At 42.7% G+C, this 17,253-nt stretch overlaps 1 protein-coding gene across 19 annotated transcripts in view, besides 3 other annotated features; it reads left to right on the top strand.

The window, feature by feature from the left end:
* Positions 292 to 939: an enhancer, noted in NCBI's record as "NANOG hESC enhancer chr10:4857623-4858270 (GRCh37/hg19 assembly coordinates)". NCBI's record gives its function as "activates a minimal SCP1, AML or CMV promoter by ChIP-STARR-seq in primed H9 embryonic stem cells {active_cell/tissue: H9 hESC(primed)}" and the evidence as "EXISTENCE:reporter gene assay evidence [ECO:0000049][PMID:30033119]".
* Positions 376 to 425: an enhancer, noted in NCBI's record as "active region_2923". NCBI's record gives its function as "activates an Ori minimal core promoter by ATAC-STARR-seq in GM12878 lymphoblastoid cells {active_cell/tissue: GM12878}" and the evidence as "EXISTENCE:reporter gene assay evidence [ECO:0000049][PMID:35858748]".
* The window catches only part of AKR1E2 (aldo-keto reductase family 1 member E2), a 48,265-nt gene continuing 40,845 nt past the window's right edge, over positions 9,834 to 17,253 (top strand). For 15 of the 19 annotated variants that reach the window (NR_073125.2, NR_073127.2, XR_007062003.1 and 12 more), the window contains exons 1-2: positions 11,068 to 11,224; positions 15,536 to 15,703. Coding sequence is in view for 8 of the 19 variants with exons in the window: in XM_047425811.1 (XP_047281767.1) it covers positions 11,186 to 11,224; positions 15,536 to 15,703 (207 nt within the window). In the remaining 11 variants the exon portion in view is untranslated. Of the gene's footprint in view, positions 9,900 to 11,037; positions 11,225 to 15,535; positions 15,704 to 17,253 lie in introns of those variants that run through there. The other 4 variants (XR_001747220.2, XR_930518.3, XM_011519715.3 and 1 more) reach the window with 2 other exon arrangements.
* Positions 11,495 to 11,574: a silencer, noted in NCBI's record as "silent region_2078". NCBI's record gives its function as "represses an Ori minimal core promoter by ATAC-STARR-seq in GM12878 lymphoblastoid cells {active_cell/tissue: GM12878}" and the evidence as "EXISTENCE:reporter gene assay evidence [ECO:0000049][PMID:35858748]".

Raw genomic sequence — 17,253 nt, forward strand, 5'->3', positions numbered from 1 at the left:
AGGTCAGGAGTTCAAGACCAGCCTGGCCAACGTGGTGAAACCCCGTTTCTACTAAAAATACAAAAATTAGCTGGGCATGGTGGCAGGCGCCTGTAATCCCAGCTACTCGGGAGGCTGAGGCAGAAGAATCGCTTGAACCCGGGAGGCGGAGGTTGCAGTGAGCCGAGATTGCACCATTGCACTCCAGCCTGGGTGACTATAACGAAACTTCGTCTCAAAAACAAAACAAAACAAAGCGAAAAAACAAAAAAAGTTTCATTGTTTCACCTCCACACAGCTCTGTCTGCATTTTGAGCAATGGCCACCAGAGGGCAGGAAGAACCAATCTATAAAGCACACAAGGGTTTCACCAACTTTGAAGTCCTCCGTTAGAAGGCAAGTTGTCCACTAATATGTAGGAACGATTAATGGCCACCAGAGGGCAGGAAGAACCAATCTATAAAGCGCACAAGGGTTTCACCAACTTTGAAGTCCTCCGTTAGAAGGCAAGTTGTCCACTAATATGTAGGAACGATTAATGGCCACCAGAGGGCAGGAAGAACCAATCTATAAAGCGCACAAGGGTTTCACCAACTTTGAAGTCCTCCGTTAGAAGGCAAGTTGTCCACTAATATGTAGGAACGATTAATGGCCACCAGAGGGCAGGAAGAACCAATCTATAAAGCGCACAAGGGTTTCACCAACTTTGAAGTCCTCCGTTAGAAGGCAAGTTGTCCACTAATATGTAGGAACGATTAATGGCCACCAGAGGGCAGGAAGAACCAATCTATAAAGCGCACAAGGGTTTCACCAACTTTGAAGTCCTCCGTTAGAAGGCAAGTTGTCCACTAATATGTAGGAACGATTAATGGCCACCAGAGGGCAGGAAGAACCAATCTATAAAGCGCACAAGGGTTTCACCAACTTTGAAGTCCTAACTTAGAAGGCAAGTTGTCCACTAACATGTAGGAACTATTTTTAATTATACCATTATTTTCCCTCAATTTTATTTATAAATTAATGAATTCACAAAATATTTCCAAAGCTCAAGTGAAGTACATCCTAATCAACTTGATTTACAATTTGTGATTTTTCTCTGAATCAATCTATAAATAATCAATAAGAAGATAATTATTTAGAAAATGAGGCTCCGAAAAATATGTTGGCTTTACATTTTTTGCCTGTGCAAGTAAATATAAAAATGTCTTTTCTCACATTTCTTCCATTTATAAACCGTTTTTAAAAATCATAAATTAAGACATGTGTGTTTTAAAAGTCTCACAACATGCAGCATTTTAAAAATTGTCTTATGCTTTACTGCTCCCTCCCGTAGGTAATCACTGTTACATTTCTCATTTACTGCAAAATTCTCTGTGCATATGGAGCACATAGATGGATAGATAGATGGGGTGTGTGTGTGTATATGAATGTGTATGTGTCTTTGGGGTGAGTGTGTCTATGTGGGTGTATGTATGTGTGTCTATTTGTGTTTATTTGTGTCTCTGTGTATGTGTATGCATATTACATATGTGTATGCACGTGTGTGTATACAGTATATGTGTGTGTGTCTGTGTACTTGTGTCTGTGTATTTGTGTGTCTGTGAGTACATCTTTGTGTGTATGTCTATGTGCCCATGTCTGTGTATTTGTATGTATGTATGTGTGTATTTACATATGTGTATGTTTGTATATGTATGCATATGTGTATATGTGTGTGTATGTATATACAGTATATTAAGTGTTTGAATGTATGTATCATATTTATCAAATTCCACGTTGTATTAATTGTTCTCACACTGCTATAAATGACTACCTGACACTGGGTCATTTATGAAGAAAAGAGGTTTAATTGACTCACAGTTCTGCATGGGTGGGGAGGCCTCAGGAAACTTACAACCTTGGCAGAAGGCAAAGGGGAAGCCAGCACATCTTAACATGGCCGATCAGGAGAGAGAGAGAGGGAAGCGGGTACTGTCACACACTTTTAAACCATCAGATCTCATGAGAACTCACTATCACGAGAACAGCAAGGGGGAATCTGCCCCCATGATGCAATCACCTTCCACCTGGTCCCTCCCCCAACACTGGGAATTACAAGTCAACATGAGATTTGGGTGGGGACATAAAGCCAAACCATATCACACGTCTTGCTTTTTCACTGAATGTGGGACCTTGGACACTTTCCCTATCAGCATGTGTGGCTGCACCACATGGATTTCAGTAGTGGCAGAATATTCCCTTCTATAGATTCCACAATTCATCCAATCAGTCTTTATTCTTCCAATTTAAGGCAAAACAAATTCCAATGTAAAAGCTTAAGGCCAGGCGCAGTGGCTTACACCTGTAATCCCAACACTTCGGGAGGCCAAGGTGGGCGGATCACGAGGTCAGGAGATCGAGACCATCCTGGCTAACATGGTGAAACTCCATCTCTACTAAAAATACAAAAAATTAGCTGGGCGTGGTGGCAGGCGCCTGTAGTCCCGGCTACTGGGGAGGCTGAGGCAGGAGAAAGGCGTGAACCCGGCAAGCAGAGCTTGCAGTGAGCCAAGATTGTGCCACTGCACTCCAGCCTGGGCGACAGAGCAAGAGTCCGTCTCAAACAAAACAAAACAAAACAAAAAAACAACTTAAATTAATATTAAAAATAGTTGTTGTTTCCTTCCAGTGGACTTAATTCCAACCAGGCTGGTGAAGAAGCCAGTTGGATAGCCAGTCCCTGCTGAAGGTGGATGGCCCCTGCTCTTGTCTCCCGGTTATCAGGCTCTCGCTGCTTTTGGGCCAGAGGAACAGGGCGTCCTCCTTGAGGCTGCGAGTCGTCCCTCTGAGTGCCTCTCACCAAGGGATGAAGCAGCAGCCATTTGGCCAGAGAGCAGTCACTCACCCATCCTTGGGTCCAGGAGAGGCATTGCAGGCTTTACCCTCAGATCTTTCTTTCCAAAGCTCCTTCTCTTCACCCTGTATCCAGGGCACTTGGCCTGAAGAGCCTTTGTCTTCTGGAAGCTTCTGCTGCCTTCCCTGCCCAGATCCCTCAGACAAGGAGCTGTAAGGCCCAACTCCAGGAGGAAATAAAGGAAGAGGGAAGAAGGAGAAGCAGAGAGAGGAGAGATGCATAAATTAATACCTCCAGAAGCAGCCTTGCTACAGACACATCATTTGTTCCTATTTTTTTCTCTGTGTCACACAGTGCTATAATGCAGAGGAACTGCTGCTTCGAAGGGTACGTGCCTGCACAGTCTGAGATTGGCAAGTTGCTATCCCCTGTGTGTCCCCATCGAGGGGGACAAGACCCTTTCCTTCCACATTCTCATGTGTACACGACGGGGCTTTAACATTTACTCATATATATACCATCTTCTTGTCATCTAGAGTTTCAATTCTTTCATTATAAAGAATGTGGTAATTGTTCATTTGTTTACATCTTTATCATTTATATTATTCTCCTAAATTCTTGCCCAAGACATTTGAAGCACCCTAAAACAAGAAGGCATATCTGGGTAGTTCAAACTAAGATTTTATGAAAAGATGCAAATCATTTACAGAAAGGACAAATATATTCTAGACATCTGAGATTGAATTGTTGTAAATTTGACTATGAGCTATAAAAGCTGACATATAATATCAACAATATTATTATCTAATATTATCTAATATTAGATATCATCCCATAAATGAATGCTTTCATATTATTCTAAACAAAAAATTTAGAATAAAAACCTACAGGAAATTATCTTATAGTTCTAAAATATGGGCTACCTTTCCAACTTAAAAAAAAAAAGCACAGTGGTAGTAAAGAGAAGTAGAGAGGAAATGGGGAGTTTTCCATACTGAAGAATATCTGCAATGAAGACCTGGGTACATTTTTTTAAATTACAAAACTAAAAAAATAAAGGCATCTAATATATAATTCAGTGTGGGAAAATAAAAACAAATTGCTAGTTTAACTTACCAATACTGTGAGCAATTTAAAATTGTTAGATTCCACCAAATAATTGTTAAATGAGATAAGCCAGGTAAATGTCCTAGCACAATACCTGAAGTACGGTATTCTCAATAAATTTCAGTTATTGTCATTTCAGTAGTTACAATTATTTTCAAAAGTTGTTTAATCTTTTTTTCTTTCAATCCATGTTAATTCTAACTGACTCAGCTTAAAAGGAAACTACTTCAAGATTGAATTTGAACTAGAAATGGGATCCCCTTGTAGTGATGTTTGAGAGAGCAGGGATTACTCTCCTTAAGGCTTCTATTTAACTAAAATTTTATTGGAACTGGATAACATGTGGAGGTCGGTCATAATCAATCACTGATAGACATAAATCTGCAAAGAATTCACTTGAGGGGGAGATGAGTGTCTTCCACCCCATTCAAGGTTGCCATTTTCCACAAAGTTCAGGCAGTGGAGTGAAATGCCACAATAATACTCTATTAAATCAACACATTGGTAATGTGATGGCAACACCTGTAGCCATTTCAGATACAGGCAGAAGCTCGCAGTTATTAAAGCCACATGGAGAGGGTACAGCAGGAAATGAAGAAAGAGGGAAGAAGGAGAAGCAGAGAGAGGAGAGATGCATAATTTAATACCTCCAGAAGCAACCTTGCTACAGACCATCGTCTGTTTCTATTTTTTTTCTCTGTGTCACACAGTGCTATAATGCAGAGGAACCACTGCTTTGAAGGGTATATGCCTGCACAGTCTGAGATTGACAAGTCGCTGTCCCCCGTGTGTCCCCATCGATGAGAACCACATTTATGGTTCTTGTGGTTGCTTGGACAGTCTTTATTTTCATCATGAGACAAAGATAAGGCAGACATTTCTGGTGAAAGTCTAACAGTTAAGTTGTGGTAAAAGATAGGATAGTTGGCGTTGGGCAACTTCAGTGAAAAAGAGCTCCTTATAATATCATAATCTTGTCCTCAGAAACTCGTGGACTATTATTTGTGGCTGCCTTTTCATCCTTTACTTTAGCAACTTACCGGTTGCTTTCTGTGTATGTGGGGCCAGTTTATGTGAGATTTGAAGAAGGGATTTTCCTTTATTGGGAATGTCTAATGAGCACTTACAAGCAGAATTTCCTCCCGATTTTTTTCCTCTGCACTCTGAATACTGGAAAGTGTTTTGAGGGCCTTCTGACAGTACACCACAGTGATTTTTTTTTCTGTCGTAATCCATTTATGACTAAAAAACATGATGCTTTTTGTTTTTGAGATAGAGTCTCGCTCTGTCACCCAGGGCAGAGTGCAGTGGCACAGTCTTGGCTCACTGCAACCTCTGCCTCCCAGGTTCAAGCGATTCTCCTGCCTCAGCCTCCTGAGTAGCTGAGATTACAGGCATGCGCCACCACGCCTGGCTAATTTTTGTATTTTTAGTAGAGACAAGGTTTCACCATGTTGGTTAGGCTGGTCTCGAACTCCTGACCTTGTGATCCACCCGCCTCAGCCTTCCAAAGTGCTGGGATTACAGGCATGAGCCAACGCATCTGGCCACATGATGCTTTTTTTTTGGTTGCTCACATGACAAGCTATTATTTTTGTGTCACTTTAAACAGAACTTAAGGTATAGACTTCATGCATTCCTTCTTGAGCCCTCTTCCATTACAGCAGTTAAATTTTGTCCAGATTCTGTAAACTAGTATTGCTGCCTGAGTGGCCGTGGTATTTCCTTTGAGCTGAACTTGGCCATTTTAGCTTCTTATTAGACAAAACAGTATACTTGGAGTCCTGGTGAATAACCAGACAAATGGAATTTCTTGTCCACAAAGCTCTAGCACAGTGGTTCGGCGCAGAGGCCCATGCTTCCCTACTTGATCTTGTCGTCACTGGCTCAGCCAAATGCTATTTCTCAAAGTTCATAAATCTCACATCCTCTTTGTGGAGTCTTTCCCCTTTTTGTACATGTATAATCCCCGGCCTCTAAGTAGTCTATTCACTTCTAAAGCTGTTGACTTGGCAAGATAACAACTGCATCATTCACACAAGCAAATCTGCTCTTGGAGGACAAAAAGAGGTTTATTTTGGCTTAGATGACTCCGATTGGCCATCTCCATTGAAACCTTGGCAGAAGATAGGTCCCTTGGCTACTGGGGAGAAAAGTCAAGTAAACCTTTAGTGCCAGGAATGGTGTTTGTAAAGATTCGGCATGAAGTGGTACATTTCGTCCTTGGGCTTCTTACTGGCTTCAACCCAAACAGAATCACTTAGTGCTGTTCCCCGGGTTAATGATGTTATTAGAACAATTGACTCAAAGCAAGAACTGAAAGGCTGAGTGCTTTGTTGTGAGGTGTGCAAAAATTCAAGTCTATCAAAACAGGCTTAGCAGAGCTGCCACCAGCAGGACAGCGTTTAGCTTTTGTTTGCTGCTTCTTTGATTCTTCATGGGCAGCTGGCATTTCTGTTGCTGGTTTCTACTCTCTCATCCCTAGTGGACCCTACGTTTTCTCCCCTGAGTGTGCTTATCTGTCCAGCTGCAAAAAAAAAAAACAAAAGGTGTGCTGTTGTTTCTGCACTTCTCCCTGTCCTCATCTCTCAACATCATATGTGTGCAGAGAAATCACACTTGTTGCTCTGTTGTCTCAAAAGGTCTAGCCCTGAGTTTGCTGAGGTGATGATGAAGGTTGTGTGAAGCTGTGTCAAACACTGAGAAACATACACACAGGCTGTAGCAGATGTGTGTTATTCCCTCAATGCATGCACCAGTGATGGGGATTTAGAATGAGCCACTGTGCAAAGATGCCCCAGAGAGACTATTCCCTATACATTATTATTCAGTGTAAGATACCCAATAAAGCAACTAGATAAAGAAATGCCTATATCTAAACCTAAAATATTCACTCACTCCCAGCGTTAACTTCCCTCATCCTTAAGAACAGGCTATCCATGGAGCTACCAAAATGCACTTTTAAAAAGTGTGTTCATGCTGCACTTCATATTCATGCTCCCTTTTCCCTTGACAATGTGTTATATGTTGAGAATCTTTAAATAAAACTGCTCAACCACCAAAAAATTATTTCTCCCCATTTCTATTCATCAGTACTTCTTATCTTGAAGGCTGATTTCAATAATCATTTATCCCTCACAACTTCATACAATTTCTTCCTTTTAGAGTCCCACTGAATATCATTTATATTTATCCCACGCTATTTTTTTATTCTAGTTTATATTATTACTTGTGAACTTTCCTAATCTCGTCTCCCAAACACACAAACCCTTTAGCTACTTCCATGGGAGGCTATCTTATCTATTACTCTCCACACCCCCAGCCACGGGATATGCAGGAGACACTAATGGATCTAGTATATCACACAGGAAGCAGATCACCAGGACGACAATTACAATCAGCAAATCCCAGTATCCACTAAAGACAGTGACAAGGGTAAAAAGACAATAGCTGAGAGCGAGGTAATAAGTGTTCATGAAGAATTTCTTAAGCCTCAGCATCTTAGCAGCTATAGCAGAATGCCATAACAAAGACAAAAGTATTTTGAGTGTGAAGTTATACCATGACATACAAATGCATCTGTCAATGAGGCCGTTAGAAATCTTCCAGACCAAAGGTCCCAAACACCCACCATAACCTTCTGATTCAATAGGGCACATATGGGGAAACTGTACTGTTAAAAAGCACTTCTACCAAGAAAAGGCAAAAAATGTCCCCTCACCACTCCTTCTCAACACTGTACTGGACATCCTAACTAATATAATAAGACAAAAAAGGAACTAAAAGGTATACAGGCTGGGTGCAGTGGCTCACGCCTGTAATCCCAGCACTTTGGGAGGCCAAGGAGGGTGGATCATGAGGTCAGGAGTTTGAGACCACCCTGACCAACAAGATGAAACCCCATCTCTACTAAAAACATAAAAATTAGCCAGGCATAGTGATGCATGCCTGTAATCCCAGCTACTCATGAGGCTGAGGCAGGAGAATCGCTAGAACCCAGGAGGCAGAGGTTGCTGTGAGCCGAGATCCCGCCACTGCACTCCAGCCTGGGTGACAGAGTGAGACTCTGTCTAAAAAAAAAAAAAAAAAAAAAAAAAAAGATATACAGTTTGGGAAGAAAAAAATTAAACTGTCTTTGTTCACAGGTGACATTATTTGCTATCTTAATTTAATTTCCAAAGAATTGATGAAAAGCTTCTGAAACTACTAAGCAATTATAGCAAGGTTGCAGAAGACAAGATTAATATACAAAAATCAACTATTTTCCTATATACCAGAATTCAACAAGTGGTATTTGAAATTAAAAGCACAGTACCATTTACATTAGCACCCCCGAAAATGAAATACTTATGTATAAATCTAACAAAATACATATGAGTCCTATATAGGAAAACTACAAAACTCTGATGAAAGATGTAAAAATAAATAAATAAATCGAGTGATATTCCATGTTCATGAATACAAGGACTCAATATTGTCAAGACATCAGCTCTCCCCAAACTGATCTAAACATTCAGTGTAATCTCATCAAAATCTTACTAAATTATTTTGTGGATAAACTGAATCCATAGTTCATATGAAGAAGCAAAAGACACAGAATAGATAACTCAATATTGAAGGAAAAGAACAAAGTTAGAGGACTCACACTACCTGACCTCAAGACTTACAATAAATCTACTGCAGTAATCAAGACAGTGTGGTATTTATGAAACAGGCAAATGGATCAATGGAACAAAATAGCACAGAAATAGATCACCACAAATATAATAAGCTGATGTTTGACAAAGGAGCAAAGGCAATACACTGGAGAACTTTCAGTCTTTTCAACAAATGATGTTGGACATCCACATGCAAAAAAATAAATCCAGACACAGATCTCACACTCTTCATTAAAATTAACTCAAAGTGGATCGAAGGCCTAAATGTAAAACACAACACTATGAAACTTCTAGAAAATAAGAGAAAATCTAGATGATCTTGGGTTTAGTGATTTTTTTTATTTTTATTTTTTATATTGATTACTGTGTTCCAGGATATTCTAATTTACTAATTTTTATTTTAATTTTTTTCTGTCTAGTCTCTGATTTTTTAATTTTAATTTTTATTTCAATTGTTTTGGGGCGACAAGTAGTGTTTGGTTGCATGGAAAAGTTATTTAGTGGTGATTTCTGATATTCTGGTGCACCCATCACCAGAGTAGTGTACATTGTGCCCAATGTGTAGTCTTTTATCTCTCACTCCCCTCCCAGCCTTCCCCCTGAGTCCCCGAAGTCCATTATATAATTCTTATGTCTTTGCAATGACTTTTAAAATACAACATCAAAGGGATGAGCCATGAAAGAAATAATTGATAAGCTCACTTCGTTAAAATAAAAATTTTTTTATTTTGCTAAAGACAATGTCAAGGAAATGAAAAGACAAGTTACAGACAGACTGGGAGAAAATATTTACAAAGACACATCTAATAAAGGACTCTTATCCAAAATACACAAAGAACTCTTAAAATCCAACAATAAGAAAATGAATGACCCAAATAAAAAATGGGCAAAAGACCTGAAAACACACCTTATCAAAGATATACAGATAGCAAAGAAGCAGAGTAAAAGATGCTCAACGTCATAGACTTATGGAATTTCTGTTAAAACAATGAAATAGCATGATACACGATTGCAGTGCAGTAGAGCTTCCCCCAGGAATACTGTTCCCAGACTTGTGCAGGGCTGGTTCCCTCACTCTTTGCCTTTCTGTTTGCAGCATAAATGCCACTTCATTGAGGTGTTGAGGATTCCCTCACTCTGTCCCTTCCGCCTCTCACCACAAGCACCTGCTTTATTTTACTATAGCACCTGCTCTTTTTTTTTCTCATGCATTTGCTTTTATGCTCTGTCCATTCATTCCTACAGATGGTGAGCTCCTGAGGGCAAGGCCCATGCAGGTCATTTTCAGCACTGCACCCTGGCCTAACTTGCCCCGTGCACAGGTGAGTGCTCCAGGCACAGTTTCTGAATGAATAAATGAGAGTATCGAAGATCCCCCTTCCCACCTGTGAGGAGCTCACATTGAGGAGATGGATGCTCACAGGAGATGCAAGTTGGGTGGGAGGCAGGGGGACACCCAGAGTGACCCTGGGAGTTTCTCTGGCTGCAGCCGCCCCATTGAGCAGAATGGGCAGCGCCTCCCCTGATGGCCAGCACTGAAGACCCAGGCAAGGAACCTAGAAACAAAGCCCTCATCTGGGTGTGGGTGTCCTCAAGGCAGTAGGACTCCCAGGGCTGAGGGGGGCAATGAAGGGGGAGCTGTAAGCTCCAGGAGAGATAAGAGGGGCGTCGGAAGGCTCCCTTGACCCCTCTTTCCCTCCACTGGCCCTGGGGGAGCCCAGTCCACTCATAAGGGGGGTGTCCAGTCCACCCCATCCACTTCCAAACGGGGGCCCGAGGCTGCAAGCAAGGACGCTCCCCTCTACATGCAGGGCTCGGCCTCCCCTGCACCACCCAGGACCCCCGCTGTCCTGCAAGCCCCAGCCGCTCTGGGCCAGGACCCAGGGAGTGGAAGGCATTTTCCAAGGGCACAGTGGCTCCCTGACGGGGAACCAAGGCCAGGCACGCTTCTCCCAGACTGGGGGCCTCGGGGCACCTGAGAATGGCCATCCTTGGTACAAGAGAGCGGGGACCCACTCCCGCGCACCCTGTGCCCCAGGGGACGCAGGACTCTGCACCCTGACCCTAGAGCTTGCCCTAGGATGGCCCGGCCATGGCGAGGCCCTGGAACGGTGAAGACTCTCTGCCCATCAACCTAGCACCTCTGCCCTACCCTCAGTCGCATATGCACCCGGTGCGAGGGAGAAGGCAACCAGGAGGTCACACCTAAGGTGGGGGCGTGAGCGGCAATGCCAGCCGATTGTAAAACCTTCCCTGCTCCTGCGTGGCTCTGCAAGCCAATCGAAAATTCCGTCGTCTATGCCGCCAGCCAATCAGGATGTCCAGAGCGCGGTGCTTCCAGCCATTTGGGACTCCAGCTGGCTCTGCGCCTCCAGCCAATCGGGGTGCCCGTCCTTAATACAACCAGCCAGTCAGTGCCCGGCGCGCGACACCAGCAGCCAGTCAGGAAGCCCTGCGTTCATGCTTCCAGCCATTGTCGGAGTGTCAGCCGTCACAAGGCACTTCCAGCCAGTCGCAACGGCGGGTCGCCAGCGCCGCAGTAGCTCGCGCGGTGCCTGTCGGTAGTCGCGTGCGGGGCGGCGGGGCGGCGGGGCGGCCGGCGGCGGCCATGGGAGATATCCCAGCCGTGGGCCTCAGCTCCTGGAAGGTGACGCGGTCGCGGGCAGGGAGGCGCGCCTGACCTAGGGGAGCGCGGGACTTGGGGGCGCCCGATGGGACCCAGGCCGGGGCTGGGGAGAAGTGCGGCGGCCTCCCCTCCGCCTGGCCGACGCCCGGGAAAGGCGCTGCTGAGGTGGCCGCCCACCGCCCACAAGCAGCCCGGCCCGGCCTTTCCTAAAACGGAGTCGGTGCTGCCCGCCGAGGCGCTCTCTGGGAGAAGCGGGAACCTCGGCAGCCAAGCCTCAGACTCTGGGGCTGCGGCCGCGGCGTTGGGCGGGGCTGCTCTGTGGAGAGGCGGAGCCCTTGAAGTTACTCAGAACTGGAGCGGGGATGCCGAGGGGAGGCCTTGGCGGCGCTGGACTCGGCCGGAACAGGGAACCTCGAAGCCTCCTCTCCAGCAAAGAGAGAAAGAAAAGTTGGGGCCGGGCGTGGGGTGCGGGCTTGTAATCCCAGCACTTTGGGAGGCCGAGGCAGTAGGATCGCCTGAGCTCAGGAGTTCAAGACCAGCCAGGTCAACATGGCGAAACCCTGTTTCTACAAAAAATGAACAAATCAGCTGGGCTTGGGGGTGCGCGCCTGTGGTCCCAGCTACTCAGGAGGCTGAGGTGGGAGGATCACTGGAGACCAGGAAGTCGATGCTGCAGTGAGCTTTGATGGCGCCACTGCACTCCAGCCTTGGGGACAGAGCCAGACCTTGCTGGAAAAAAAAAAAAAAAAAAGAAAAAAGGAAAATTGGAATTGCTGATTAGGCTTTAAAAGAAACTTTGGGATCTCATGTTGTTCCCTGTTTAGAAGCAACCTGCCCTGATGCCTGAGACATATAATCGCTCTGTGCATTTATGGGGTGCAGCGTAATGTTTTGAGCCGTGTATACAATTGCAATGTGGTTAAATCAAGCTAATTAACATATCTATCACCTCTCTCAGTTATTATTGTTTGTGGTAAGATGTTTGAAATGTCTTGTTATTTTGAAATACACATGTGTAGTAAATTATTGTTGACTGTTGGCATCCTAGTGCGCAGTAAGTCTTAAAAGCTGTGTCTCCTGTGTGTTTGAAACTTTGTACCCTTTGATCAGCAACTCCCCATTCCCTCCTTCCTCACCTCCCCCAGCCCCCAGCGTCTTATAACCACCATTCTATTCTACGACCTTTCTCTGCTTTGAACTTCACAATTCCTGCCAGTGATTTGAGACAGCACTGACTAAAAAGCGTTTAAAATTTGATCTTTAAAAAAAAAAAGCTAAACTTAGTTGTTGATAAAAGCTATAAGAAGTCATATAGGAAGTTAGTTACTGAAGGAGTCAGAATGTTCAAGGCCTGCTCATGAAAATATTATTTAAATTATTTCTCTTACCTGCTTACCAACTCTTAGAGGCTAGGAGTGTCGTTTTGTTCATATTGGTTCTCAGCATCTAGTGAAGGACGTGCATCTGTCAGCCCTTCATTCAGTAAGCACTCGATGGATTAAACTGTTGAGTCTCTTGCTTCCCTTTATTTCTGCAACAATTTGGTGCAGGAGTCCAGACTTTCGTGCACACAGGATAAGGAAAAATTAGTGAAAACTGTGCTTAACAGGTCAAAATATTCTATTTATTTTTCTTGGACTGCAGGTGCATCAAATTGGATTAATCATAATCACTCATCACTGGTCTATGCAAAGGCTTATTTTTACTCGTCTATTTTTAATAGTGAATAAACATCACAGACCTATCCGTTATCTGTTGCCCCAGAAATGCTGCATCAATGGCCAAACACCAGACCTCAGTGGTGTACAGCAGCAAGTGTATTCCTCCCACACGGGAGGTCAGGAGAGCAGCTCTGTGGACCTTGGCTGGGCTCAGTTGGGATGGTTGGGGCTACTCCACTTGGCTCCGCACATCTCCTGTCCTCGTGCGGTTAGTTAGGGAGTGTTCTCAAGATGATGGCTGAAGCACAAGAGAGCAAGGGGAGCGGTGAGATGTCTGGAGACCTCAGCCTGGGCTCTTCATTATTAGGGGCCACTTGATCCATCTGTGTGCCTGATCGGTGCTGTCTTAATTACTACAGTTCCTTGATAAGCGCCCATACCTAGTAGGGCAGGTCACCTCTCCCTGCTGTTGTAGATTTACAGTGTACAATTTGATGAGTTTTGACAGATGCATGTACCTGGGTCCTGGCTTTTTATTTTGGCACCTTACTCTCCACTGTAAGTTTTAGAACTAGCTTAGAAGGTTCCATGAGAAACTTTATTGGGGTTTTGATTGGAACTACATTAAATCTGTAGACCAGCTTGGAGATAATTGACACCTTTGTAATGTTAAATCTTAACTTTTCTACAAGCATGGTATTCTTCTCTGTTAATAAATTGTCCTGAATATGGTTCATTTCTAACATCTTTTCATATGGTTGTATAGTTTTTCCTGAAGAGAATATATGTCTTTTGTTGGAATTATTATTGGGTTCTTGATAGTGTGTTATACTACTGGAAATTATATTTCTCTGAAGTTACATTTTCTACTTGTTTCACCTGCTATATTCATTACACTTCCAGCCACTTTACTAAACTGTACTGTTATTTCTGTTAATTTGTGTTACATTTGTTTGGATTTTCTACACAAATGATCATATCATCAGCAAATAATGGTAGTTTACTTTCCTTTTTTTCCACTCTTTAAGCTTAAAATTGCTTCTTCTTAGTTGTTCAGGTGCTTCTGGAAAGCACCTCCAGCACAGTGGCCATTCTTGTTTTGTACCTGATTTTAAAGGATGTAAGATGGATATTTTTTAATATTGATACTCTTTATCAGATTAATTCTTTTCCCCGACTTACTGGGAGTTTAGATTTTGAATCTAAACTGGTATTGAATCTTAACAAATATTGATTGAGTTGACTTTTGTTTTTGTACTTTAATCTGTTAATATTGATGAATTACAGATTTTCTAATATCAAACCATCCTTAGATATCTGAGATACACTCAACATGGGTGTGGTATATTATCTTTTCATAAATATTGTTGCATCCAATTTGCTTTTATTTTACTTATGAATTTTGCAACGGTATTCATGAATAAGATGAATGTGTGACTTTTAATATTTTTGTCTGATTTTGATTCAGGGTTATGCTAGTTTTGTAGAATGAGTTGAGATAAGTCCGTCTTTTTCTGTTGTTTGAAAGTCTGTGTTAAACTGAGATGATTTTTTTCTTGAAAATTTTATGAAACTGGTGGTTTTCTCTTTTTTTTGAATTCCTTGCATTCTTTAATAATTATGTAACTATTCAAGCTTTATTCTTGGGTTAAATTTTTCTAGGAATTTTCCCATTTTATCTCATTTTTCCAAGTTATTGACATATAGTTATTGGTAATATTTTCTTTTAAGTCCATTTTATCTGCATGTTTTACTGTCCATTCGTGTCAGTTTTTTAAAAAGTTGGCCTCTTCATCAACCTAGCCAGAAGTCTGTTTATTTTACTGAAGTTTTTCAAAGAACTGACTTCTGGTTTTGTTGATCTTCTCTGTTACATCTTTGTTTTCTATTTTATTGATGTTATTCTTAATCATATTTTTATCTTTCCATCCAATTTCTTGGGTTCTTTTTCTAACTTAAGATGGATACTTGGTTCATTAGCTTTCAACCACTCTGAATCTGTTGCCTATAAAATGAAGATAATTATGCTGCTCTAACTCCTAGGGTTACCGTGAAGCTCCAGTGAGAAAGTGGTTTGTGAACTATAAAGCCCTTGTCAGTCTTCAGTTTAATGAGACTGCAAACCCGCCCACCCCCATAGTCTTCCCTAGTTCTAGTCCCTTCCCTTGCCTGAGCTTCATTTAGAGTGACTGTTCTCTTTTCTGAACTACCTTATTGCTTGTAGCATTATACATTCATTTAGGTTTTGTTATATACTTCTTTTTGTATGGATACCTTCGTGTGAGTCTACACCTCAGCCTTTATTATTGGACGCTGTGGTATCTGAGTATACAGGATAAATCTTAAGCCTCTTTGCATCTCAGTTATTATTCATTCTGTACTTTTTTATTGCTTTGATCATTCAGGAAGCATACCATCTAGCTCAGTTTTCTGCAGACACTAAAAATAACCTATAGTTTTTTTTTCCCAAAATATGTAAAGGAGTTGGAACTTAGATTATTCATAAATTCCTTCATAACTGATATTGCCTGTTTTTAGACTGATTATACTAGTACCAAATTAGTGACTTAATTTTTTATGTATTATGTTGTCCACATGCTTGGGTGAAAGGGGAGATTTGTGTTGGATTCCTCTGACTGTGAGAAGACACTTTGTTTTGTTGGTTTTGCAGGCTTCTCCAGGGAAAGTGACCGAGGCAGTGAAAGAGGCCATTGACGCAGGGTACCGGCACTTCGACTGTGCTTACTTTTACCACAATGAGAGGGAGGTTGGAGCAGGGATCCGTTGCAAGATCAAGGAAGGCGCTGTAAGACGGGAGGATCTGTTCATTGCCACTAAGGTAGGGCTTCTCTATGCAAGGCTGGCAGAGCTTGGGTAATGCTACATCTCTGGAGGGCTTTCTACTTTCTTTATGGGAGTTGATGACTTTGTTTCATACTCAAATCGGAATAAACAAGAATATTCACAGCTTCATGAGCATGCTGAATTATATTGTGTGCAGGTTTGTTTCATATTATTTACTTGGTCATTCAGGTAGGAGTACACAGATATCCCCCAATTAACAATACATTATCAAAATTCAGTTAGTGATGGGCACTTTGACTACAGTGGTGAATAGGACAAAGTCCTAGCCCTCATGAAGTCTGTTTACACAGCGATTCCTAAATTCAGAATCACTGGGGTGATTGTTAAATGCAGATTCCAAATTCTACCCCACATCTGTTGAAGGAGAAACTCTGGGTGTGGAGGAAGCAGCTTGAGCACAGGCATAAGGCAGGAAGCAGCACGGCAGGTGCAGGGGTTTGTAGGAAGCTTGGTGTATTAGTCTGTTCTCATGCTGCTGTACGAACATACCTGAGACTGGGTAGTTTATAAAGAAAAAGAGGTTTAATTGACTCACAGTTTCACATAGCTGGGGAGGCCTCACAATCATGGCAAAAGGCGAAGGAGGAACAAAGGCACGTCTTACATGGTAGCAGACAAGAGAAAGTGTACAGGGGAACTGCCGTTTATAAAACCATCAGTTGTCACGAGACTTATTCACTATCACCAGAACAGCATAGGAAAAACTTGCCCCCATGATTCAGTTACCTCCCACTGGGTCCCTCCCATGACACGTAGGGATTATGGGAGCTACAATTCAAGATGAGATTTGGCTGTGGACACAACCAAACCAAATCACTTGGTCTCTCTGGACCACACAATGTCAGGTTGCAGGAGTAATGAGAAGTGAGGCTGAGTGGTGGATAGGCTAAGCCATGGAAGTTCAGCTGTGCCCTGTCAGGAGCTGTGCTTTTACCTAGAGACAGAGGAGCCCTGTTTCATTTTTAAATAGGGCAGCTTGTATCATATGTGAGTGCAACTTGTGTTGTATATAGGATATTTTAGTAGGTGAAAGAAGCTTGCATTTGAGGCAGAGGCAGGAGGCCAGGTAGGAGACATTAACAGCAGTGCAGGTGGAAGATGATGAAGGCCTGCACTGGCACAGTGGGTGAGGGAGGGAGAAGAGGAAATGGATGTGGAGGGTATTGGGAGTCAGGACCTGTGGAAGATGCAGAGTGGACTACGATAGTGGAGAATTCAAGAATTCCTTTGCTTTTGATTTGGAAGCAGAATGTAAGACCATGAGATCAGGAGTCATGGGTTCATGGTCTAGCTGCCATTCAGGAGCTGTGAGTATTAGGGATTAGATGGCTCAGGCTCACAGCTTCATTATTTGTAAAATGAGACTTTGGATTTGAGAATTTCCTGAGTAACTTCCCAGCTAAAGTTTCATACCTCAAGATTCAATGTTGTTTCTATAGTTGAATTGCCTTCTGTTTTACTTTATGGAAGTTAATGTTCTTCAGGCACCATTGCTATCTGCACTAGAGCAGAGGGTGGTAAGAG

Source organism: Homo sapiens, chromosome 10 (genome assembly GCF_000001405.40).
Source record: "Homo sapiens chromosome 10, GRCh38.p14 Primary Assembly".
Lineage (NCBI taxonomy): Eukaryota > Metazoa > Chordata > Mammalia > Primates > Hominidae > Homo > Homo sapiens.